General features: G+C 31.1%; 1 annotated feature.

Moving 5' to 3' along the window:
- Positions 9,493–9,542: a silencer, noted in NCBI's record as "silent region_14801". NCBI's record gives its function as "represses an Ori minimal core promoter by ATAC-STARR-seq in GM12878 lymphoblastoid cells {active_cell/tissue: GM12878}" and the evidence as "EXISTENCE:reporter gene assay evidence [ECO:0000049][PMID:35858748]".

Here is a 9,767-nt window from a genome sequence, read left to right as displayed (position 1 = left end):
AAAAAGGTACCAAGTGTTCATGTGATTTTCTGTGGTGATAGGACACCGAATGTTTATTTTCCAAACAAGCATTTATTACTGTTGTAATTTAGAATAAAATGTAATGTATAGTATGTGAGCACACAATTTTGTTTGAGGCAAGAGAAAAAGTCTAGGAAAGCTAAAGAGCTCTAATACCACCCCCGTTAGGTTTTGAAGGGTGAATGGGTATTTTCCAGTCAAACAAAAAGAGAATGTATATTTTACATAGAAGGAGGAGCATGAGACAGTTCCACAGAGGTGTGAAAGCATATTGCATATTCAGAACAAAAATAGTCCAGTAGGCTAGGGAATGTGGTGGACTCTTATAATAATAACCTTCTTTGCATTGGTTGTTACCAAAATGATCTCCTATTTATCCTCCCAGTCTTTTTGTTTATTTATTTATTTTGAAAATTAACCTCTTCTGTGAAGTCTTTCATGACCATCTCTGATTTTATAACAGCTCTTCTATCTCTATCGCTGTAGTCTTAGACCATATCTCCACATAACACGATCATATACGAGCCCTCATTGTTTGGCTGGATCTTAGAAATTTGTTTCCTGCAGCTATTTCCCTGCCTCTCATAATCATGGCTGGTATGGATTGTTTCTAGAAAGTAGCATACAGAATAACAGATGAACTCTATACCCCCTAAAAACTACACACACATACTCATAGACACACACTCAAATCTTTCCTCTAAAATATGTTTTTCCAGTAACATAAAAATACCATGAAAATCAAACCACTGTCAAGCTCTTAAAAATTTCTTCCTTTCTTCAATGTTTTCCCATATTCAAGATAACTTCAATAAAAAATGCAAGTAATCTACTTTTAAATTTGCTAGTAATTTTAGCAGAATGTCATCTTGTCCTATTTCTGATCTCTGTACCATGAATTAGTGTATAAGAATGGTTTAAAGATGTTTTACAAGTCACAAATACATGATGAGTAGGACCAAGTCATCTTCAATAGGTCAGTGAATCTACACAGGCACAACTGCTATTTTTCCATTCAGTGTAACCACTCAAGTACGCATTAATTTTGATGTGACTGAAGAGGTCAGAGAGAGTGGAAAGACTATTGGTCTGTGAAGTGGGAGACTCAGATTCTAGTCCTGGGACTGCTAATTAGCTGTGGGACCTTGGAAAGACTCCTGAACCTCTTCTGTCTTCGACTTCTTCATCTTTAAAATGAAGCCCCTGGATTAATTCATTTGAAAAGTCCCTTCTGAATTGAAAAGTCAAGATCTATAAGGAAAAATCATGTCCAAGTTTACCTTAGCTGTCTATCTCATTTTGCCTATTTGTAAATTGGCCTTTAACATCCTTTCCAACACTGACTTTGCTTTACTATGACTGATGAGATAAAATAAATGTGAATTCTGCTAAACATCAATACTAAGCCAGCTTTCTCAAACACTGGAATCAACTCACTCTAGCCAAAATGTTCTCAGGCCTAGAAATTCATCATATTTTAGTCACTTAAAAGATAATTTATAATACCATTATATCATAGTAAAATTTTTATCTTCTCTATAGATTAGTGAACTACATCATTAGATTTACTATAATCATAACTTGAGAACTAAAACATTGGAACAGTAATTGTATTATTATTTCCACTAACATAAACAAAACTAATAAAAATAAGTATCTAAATGTTCATGGTCTTTTCACTCTGAGATACTAAGCTTCAAAGCATTAAATCCTTTACCTTCTGATAGAAATTAGAATGCTAACTATGAGCTTGCATCTCAGCAATTCCTAAAAAGAAAAAAAATACATTAAGCACTCAACCACAAGCAAAGTTAAGTTCTCACGTTAAAAAAAATTGTGTGATCTTCCCTTTGTGGAGCTTACTTTGTTTTATAAGGGTGCTCATGATTAAAATAACATAACATAATAACAAAAGTCACAGACAATGCTAAAATACTAGTAAAAACATTCAAAATATCGAGATAAATACAACTTTCTTTTATTGTATTTTATAATAATTTTATCCATACAAGAAATATAAGTAAATTTTGAGGGATTTTCATGACCAGGTATAGAAATCAATTACCTAAATTGACTATACATTGATATCATTTCGCTAAAGCATCATAAAACAATGTCATCTTCTTTGACTTGGCAGTACTTAGTTTTTTAAAGAAAATTACAGGACCAGTAGAAAATTTTAAAAGTAAGTTTAAAAGCCTAGAATTCCCATTAGTTATTGTTAACTTCCATTTTTGGCTTGATCATATCCTAATTACAGATGCATGACTATGAAGTCAATGGTATTTTCAAAGCAGGAATCTGTTGACTCATCCCACAGGGGAAGAAAAAAAATCCAATCTCTAGCTACTTGCCACCAATATTAACAAAAATTATCCTAATATATTCATAGGCATATTGATCAGCTGTTGAAAATTTCAAGTTAAACAAAAGTAACTTATTTTTCATCTACAACTAAATCTTGGTCTAGCATAATAAACTATATTTTTAACCTGCCTGTTCTTATAGTCAAACATGTAGGGAAGTTGGGGCTTTTATATTCAAACAAAGGCATCCAGCTTAGATGTGTGATAGAATTTCTAAATTGACACCCAACTTCAAAGAGTAAAATTTCAAGGAGTCCCCGATTGATTAATCAATTGCAGAGCTTTCAGTGTAAACACACACAAAAAAACCTTATAAATTCTTTGTTTTCTGTGTTTTCAAAAATATAATAAAATATAATGATTTATAACCATCAAAAATTATACTTTAATGTTGATTGATTAAAGTCTGTTAGCATGAAACTATAGCCATCAGTTTTTTTCTTTGTGTTATATAATTTTAAGATGTATGAGAAATTTGATCAAATAACCAGTAAAAATACATCCATGCATCAGTATTTTTAAGAAGCCAAAAAATGATATTCTATTACGCTGATGAGGCTAGAATTAATTTAAATAACTTTGGGCTTGATTCATGAAAAACAAAAATACTTACACAGTAGGGGGGCATTATTTCTGCATTTTTTTATATGCACAAGTCATGGTCTGCATTCAACTTTCAATTCAAAAAGAAAAGTTGCAGATTTATGTAGGCAGGTTTTTGTGTGAGTGCACAGCTCCAAAGTGAAAAATAAATAAGCCTGGAGAGAACTTAAGCCTTTTAGCAGAGTGTTAAAATGATTGCAGGCTGAACTTCAGGCCCCCAAAAAAATCTCATCCCAATAAATTATTACCAAAATGTTAGCCAGCACCACGTTGTCACACTCAGGCAGCAGGGACATAATGGTGACACAGAAGAAAACTGCCACATAAATCACTTTAAAACAGCCCTTTGCTCCATATAGGGAGAAACTTCCATCCTCAGCTGAATCTCCTCTCCCACATTTTCATCTCTGAGAAAATGGCAACTGTCCAAATCACTAAAAACAATTTAAAAGAAATCCCTGGAGATGTTGCTGCCAAACTTAGTAATAGCCTTTCGTGATTAAGAAAAAAGGAAATAGGTAGTAAGAAAAATTCTTTTTAGAAATATTCTCCCTTTAAAATCTGAATTGATAAAGTAGATCACAGGTCTTAAACTGAACCAAAGAATCAATAAATATTGATTTTTTCTTAATTTGGCTTTCTTAATTCCACTAAGGGAATATATCTTTTATAGAGTATAGAAATATAAAGAAATGGATTCTATAATAAAATAATTTGGCATTGTTAAGGCATTTCAATAGAGGCAAATGCATTTAACTCATGAAAAATGTTCTCAGAATTTTTACATCTATTATTTCCAAAAGCCAATTTTAAGCTTTCAGACCACATTTGCAATTATTCTTTAAATAAACTGTTCAGCAAAAATATATATCTATTAAAATTTTCTATATGAATAAAAATGGACTTTATAATTAATGACCATGAAAAGTCATTCTAATAGTAAAGTAAACCAACATTATTTATATGTTTTAAAAATAAATAAGGCTATATGTGTTTTTAGACATACTTACATATTTGTAGAAATCATGTTGTGTCAAAAATAGAATTAATTGATTTTATTTTAATGTAAAGTATTTTAAAATACTGTCATAGCTCTATTGTTTCTCACATTTTGAAACAAATCATTGTTGTTGCTTCTTTTTGTCCCTTAAACTTTCAGGAAATCTTAGCTATTTCATAGGTGCACCCTATGAAAATTTTTTATATTCAATAAAATCTTGAAAATAAATGGAAAATAAACCTAGACGTTCAAGATAATTTTATTAATCCTGTGGAAACTATTGCATAATAACACAGACAGTATTCAACTTCCCTTGTCAATTTTGAAACTCAGCTATTACTGTTGCTGTCTTAAATTTAGCATCCTTAAAGCTGAAGGGGGGAAAATCAACTTGCAATTTAGACAGTTATCAAATTACCAAAACTAGTGCAGGAACTCTTAATGAGCAAAACCATTAACAATTTTCCGACTGGAGCCCCTGTTCAAATACCTTGGACACCTTGTTAGCACAGAATGAGGTGTTCAATCAAGAGACTGGGAATTGGAAGTACCAGGGCACAGTTTTGAGTGGTGATTACAAGGGCGAGAGGGCGAGTGCCAAAGTAACAGTCTTCTACCCTGCAGGAAGCTGAGAAACCTTCAAGTCTACATTTGTAAATCAGGCCCGATGATTACAGCAGTCACAAGCAAAGAACATATGAAACAATTATTTGCACCATTCTTTCACTGTTTTAATTTGCTCTTAAAATGAACAAGATGATCCCCAGAGTCACTGGCATTTTGTCTTTAGAATTTTAGAGCATGTTCTAGGATTTTTCATGGCACTGTAAGCCAAGGAAAAGACTAAAAGGATAATTTCAAAGAGCATTCCTTTTTTTTTCCTCACAAGCTTTTTTATTGTGCAGCTTTCCTGTAACTTAACATAGACAAAATAGTTTGCAGGAATTTAATTCATTTCAGATATTTTAATTGTTGACTATTTAAAAATAAAATATGTTTGTCACTTATTCGTTTTTAACTTTTGTTTTATTGCCTTTTATTTAAAATGCAGTATCTTAGACATTGAGACTCTTGCATTAAATTCAGCAGGAATAACAGAACATGTTTCCAGTTTTTAACTACTTTAATCTGCTCTTTAACCACTGACAGCTCACAAATAATTTACTAAAAAGTTTTTATTTTAGGTTACAGCATTTACGTTGTCCTTGAAGCTTAATAGTGACACAGTATCAAATGTATTTAAAAGAATATATTTAAGCAAAATATTACTTCTTTAAATAAGCATATTTATCTTAAGTGAAAAAATTGCACTGAAAAAACAAAATTAAACAGAAAACAAAACCTTCCAAATGCAAATACGTGGAATTGATTTTATTGACATTAGGTACATCTTTTTTACGAAGTTGACTATAGACAAATAAAAATTCAGGTGCCATAAAATAAAGTGTTTATAGTTGGAAAAAGGAAACACAAATATATATTTATAATTTTGTTTTATGATACAAAAATCTATTTTTTTAACTTATTAAATATGCACATATTTTTCTCTGAATTGTTTGCAGGATGATGTACTAAATGTTTAGGGGATGGTTTTGCTAATTAGTGACAGACATGAGGATTTATATATAATATTATATTCTATATGTCTGTAATTTTATAAACTTTATTATGAATTAATCGGAAAAAGAATTTTCAAAAGAACTTAAAATTACCAATTAATTTTATTTCATTTTATGAAAGCATATTAAAGGTTAGATTCTAAGTCTGTATTTTCTTCAATAGGTAGATACTGGAAAATAGCATTTTTAAAAGACTTGGAGCACCTCTGAATTTGAAAACATCATAAGGTTCTGTTTATATAAGCAAGGAAGGAAAATAACACAATTTTAACTACTTATAACTGATTTCTGAAAATTTATTAAATAATATAATTAAATTTATTTTTAAGTAGGTTTATATTTTCCTAGAGAGCCTTCTATTTCCTCTTGACTATTATTTTTGTCAGTGTTTTGCTACATGGTACAATATTGAGGTTCCAGAGTTTGATTTTCTATACTAAATCAATGGTTTAAAATACTGTAAACTCATGTGAGAGATTGCCATGTAATTTTGTAATGTATTGCAATCACATAATTTGTCCCCAAACCCACAGTGATTACTGTTAAATGCTCCTTTTCTCAACTAGTAAAATCTTTTTCATGATTTGCTATCCAAATGTAGAGGGCGCTATTGTTCATGTATTTTGAAAGCGTTTCATAAAGGAAAATACATTTAGCTAATAATTTAGTATTTGTTTTCAAAATGTATCTATAAACTCCAATGGAAGTATCAATGTGTTGTCTGAATATAAATTTAAAGTAATTGAAAAAGTGTTTATATAGATCAGTAAAATTGCATTTGCCATTAAAGATTTATGCATTTTTAATTATCCCTGAGCTCTAATTAATCTATAATTAATTTTAAATATTATGATAACCAGATTTTACAGAAGTATTTCAATTTTTCTCTTATTGTAGTTATGTAGAAGAATAGCCTTGTGCATAGGAGATGCGTGCTGCAAAATTTAGGAGTGTCACTACTTTCAAGCGATTTAGGGAAAAGATAAACTTAATGTAGCAAAAAAATGTTGATTTTGAGTGGAGAACAAGCGAATGTTTACTGTACTGTATTTCAACTTTTTTTGTATGTTAAAATTTTTCAAACTAAAAATTTGCAGGAAATATTCTGATTGCTTATCTCATTCTTAGTTTTTATGTTTATTTTGTTCATTATTTTTCTAAGAAAATATATATTTTAAAAATATCTTACTGAGCATGCTAGTTTCTGTATGCTAAATTTTAATGCAGTTTTTAAATATAAAATGTTATCCTAATTATATTTCTGTCATTAATTTCTTGAGGTTGAATGGGGTCAATAATTTTAGACTAAAAATTTATATTTGCTCATATTTTTACAAAATGTTATGTGAGTAAATATTAATCACTTGTAAATATTTTCTCAAGTATCACGAAATCACCTGAGTTCACTTTTGTTTTATGACTTTTGTTTGTTTTATGGTTGCTGTAAAGAGCTTAAAAATGAGTCAACACCCCCCCAAAATTATAGTCATTCTTGTTCTAAACACAAAATTTAGGTAAGATATTGGTATAGTTTACAAAATGAATTTCAAAAATTTAAATATTTGGATGCATCATTGTATCTAAATGCATGGAACAAATGTTACATAAAACTAACCAGTACCTTGCTACTAATAGTACATGCTGTAGAAGAGTTACAATTACAGATTTTAAACACACTAGTTTAGAAAATTCAAACCAGGCACTAAACATTGATTGTATTCTAAGGTAGTTTTCATTCTTAATTCTTCACATTTAATTTAATACTTTGAATAAACCATTTCAAAATGTTTCTTTTCATGTTACTTATATATTTAATACATCTAAATATATTTTATAAATATTGTAAAGTATCTTATTAAGTTTATTATATTAAAGTCTATATATATACTGAATAGACTTAATAAGAAAATTGTCTCTTTAGTTAAATAAAATCTAGTTAAATAAAAATCACATTTAGAATCATCCAGATTATTGATTGAATATTTCTTTTCTATTTACATTATTAGGCACTGCGGAAGCATCAATAGCATCTCTTTTTCTTTTTAATCTAGCTTGCAGAAAGAAAGAGGGAGAGAATGTTAGTGACTAGTGTATGTAAATACGTATTCTATGCATAGCCATGAAACTAACTCACCAGAAAAAAAACACAAATATTGCTTGTGGAAAAGTTTTGAATGTAGCTCAGGCATTACTTTTCACCACTTCAAATTATTTTAAAATCAAAATAAGTATGGCAGAAAGCACAAAAAGAAAAAGCAGCTCTTTAAAATAGCTCATAACTTGCAATTTTAAATAGGATATCTGAAACTTTGTCTGGTTAAACTGTATCTAATCTTGCACAAGCAGGCATTGTCTAATTTTTATGGTATCCATGCACGTTCAAGAAGTTTTCCACCTTAAAAACAAGGGAGTAGAGTTGAGGGGGGTGGGGCCAATCCATAACTGAGTAACAGTTGCCTTTTATGTTTGGCAAGTTCTTTGGGACCAAGATACCCCCCAGCCTGACTGACTAGGAGGCTGAGATGCAGTTCGGCCCTGTCTTTATGTCAAATCACTGCCATCAAAACAATGGCTCATATTACATGAAAATCTTGTGCAAATGAGCCATAATGGGAGTGAATGACAATCTCGTAAGACCATGCAGCAGGGTCCTCCTTTGATGTGAAATACTGTTAATCTTTCTCAAACATAGCCCACTAAGCATACTTGGCAAATCCTATATGAGAAAGTCCTTACAGTACAGATTCGGAGATAAACACGCTGTAAGTGAAAAAGACACTAATATAAAGTTCCATGTTGGTCATAAATTTTCATTTACTTCAGTCATTTTTTGGTTGGGGGTTTGTTTTTATGTTCTTAGTGGTTATCATTTTTGTCTAGTCTTTTGAAGGATATTTATACATCACACTTCCTTATTTTAAAATGCTGGTTACAATGGCATTACGAGTGTTGGATATAAATGTTCAATGGCTGATTTTAAAAGTATTTTTAAAAGGATCTCTAAGGGTTATAATAATTTGAGAATGTTTGAAAATCTTATTTACATAGGCTTTTGTCGTTAATCATAGTGGACTCAGACTGATGGCTTCATATTATTTGTGCCATAATATGAAAGAGAAAGGAGAGAGAGAGACAACTTTCAAGCATGATGTTTTCTATTAGAAAAAAGAATGACTTAGGTGTTTCTATTTTTAAAGTAGTTTAAACAGCCATCTAAATATCTCCCAAAGAGTAATAGATCAGCTTTTGGATCACAAAAGGTATTTTCTTTCACGCTCTAATATCAAAAATCTAACTGTTTTGCTGGATATCCAAATATGTAAGGCCCATGTCTAAAGCAAGCTGAGTCAATCATGGTAATTCAGTGCTGGTAGGAAATATGCCTCTTCAGTTGTGCTCTGCTTTTGAAGTGTTGCCTAAAAATCAGCCTTGGGCTTCAAAGAGAGAGGGATTATAGCCTTTATCCAGCAATTAATATGGCTGGAATTCAGAATGTCAGTGTCTAACCACGATCCTGGCTGGACAGTAGCATAGCAGGAATTCGTTCTTCAAAACTTGGAGTAAATCATAAAAATGAATAAATAGTAAAATGTTATTAATGTGTGGCAGAAAAGAAGAGGGGAAAAAATAAACATTCCACTTCTAATGACCTACCTATGTTTTTGACATGCAGACAAGCCCTCCCAAAAAAGTGATGTCCCCAGACCTCTAACCAGCCTTATCCACCTAGATCGTTTTAATCTCCCACCAACTGCTAGGCAGAAAGAAGTGCTATTAGAGAGAAAGCTATTCCTTTTGCCTTCTAACATAGATCAGATGACAACCTCTCCAAGTCCCTCCTCTCTGTCAGAGTTCAAGGGTTCAAAAACGGTCAGAATGTCAAGCAACAGAAAAGCAGCAGGGTTTTGCAGGAAGAGTTTAAGTACGTTAGATTATGCAGAGTAGTCAGAAGAGACACTGGTGTTAGGTTTCATTTTTCATTCTCAATCTTATTTTAAGTGCCCTTTGACAGTAGCCTACAACAGAGATCCCCTTCTGCTACTGAGAGATTATAGAATGCAAGTCCTTAAAATACTATTTATTTCTACTTAATACTCTGGTATATTTGAGGTTGAATATTAAATAACAAAATGTCCGCACCTTTATAGCAATAGATTA

Source organism: Homo sapiens, chromosome 3 (assembly GCF_000001405.40).
Source record: "Homo sapiens chromosome 3, GRCh38.p14 Primary Assembly".
Taxonomy (NCBI): Eukaryota; Metazoa; Chordata; class Mammalia; order Primates; family Hominidae; genus Homo; species Homo sapiens.
The sequence above is the reverse complement of the archived record's forward strand: the minus strand, read 5'-3'. Positions and strand labels throughout refer to the sequence as shown.